We start from the raw sequence: 1199 nt of genomic DNA on the forward strand, positions 1-1199 counted from the left end.
TCTGTGCGCTTCCTCCCCCCCCCCCCCATTTTCTTGCCTTGCTGCATAGGCCATGGCAAGTATGAGGTTGAATAAAAATGCCTTAGTGGATGTCTTGGCCTCTTCTGTCTGTAAGCTCTGGAGTGATGTGCCACTTTCATTCAAGTACCAGCTTTAGGTTTCACAGATTTTATCTATTATTTGTTTTCTATTTTATTAATTTGGCACTTAATTTTCTTTTCTTCCTTCTACGTATGTTAGATTTGTCCTTTTCCCAGCTTCTTAAAGTGGAAGCTGAGCCCCTTGGTTGAGAGCTTTGTTTCTCAGCATTGAAAACATTCTCTCTTTGCACATTGCATAGCTGCTTCCCACAGATGGATGGAAATGTGTGACTTTTCATTCATCCTGTTCAAAATATTTTCTAATTTCCCATGTAGTTTCTTCTTGGACCCATGGGTTATTTAGAAGAGAACTGTTTCGTTTCCAAATATTTGGGGATTTTCCAGATAGCTGTCTCTTACTGATTTTCTTTAAATTGGTTGTGGTCAGATAACATATGTTGTATTATTCTAAATCTTTTAAATGAATTGAGACTTATTTGGTGGCTCAGCACGTGGCGTGCTCTGGAAAGAATGCACCTCCTGCAGTCAGGCACAGTGGTTTCTACGTGCCAGTCAGGTCTCATGACCTGTCACTGATTTTCTTTCCCCTACTCTGTCAATAGCTGGGAACCTCCCAGCTGGGAGGTTCCGATAGTTGGAACCTCCACTGTTAGTGTGGACTTGACTGTCTCTTCTTTCAGCCCTGTGTGCCCCGACACTGTATTCTGGAGCTGCTGGGGCATAAACGTGTGGGACTATTGTCTTCATTGTAAATTGGTGCTTTATCAAGGGATTTCCTCTTTTATCCCTTGTTCTGATGTCTACTTCGATACTAGGTTAGCCATGCTGACTTTTGATTAGCATTTACATGGTATCTCATTTTCCATCCTTTGACTTTTAACCTATCTGGGCTTTTATATTTTAAGTGAGTTTGTGGTAGACAGCATATAGTTGGGTCTCATATTTTTATCCAGTCTGACAGACTGCCTTTTATTTTTTCACCAGTTTTGCTATTCATTGTTCTTTGTTACCTTTTTCCTCTTTTCCTGCCTTCTGTATTAATTGAATATTTTAAAGTATTCCATTTTATCTCTACTATGGATTTACTTCCTATACATC

This window comes from Homo sapiens, chromosome 5 (genome assembly GCF_000001405.40).
Source record: "Homo sapiens chromosome 5, GRCh38.p14 Primary Assembly".
NCBI lineage: Eukaryota > Metazoa > Chordata > Mammalia > Primates > Hominidae > Homo > Homo sapiens.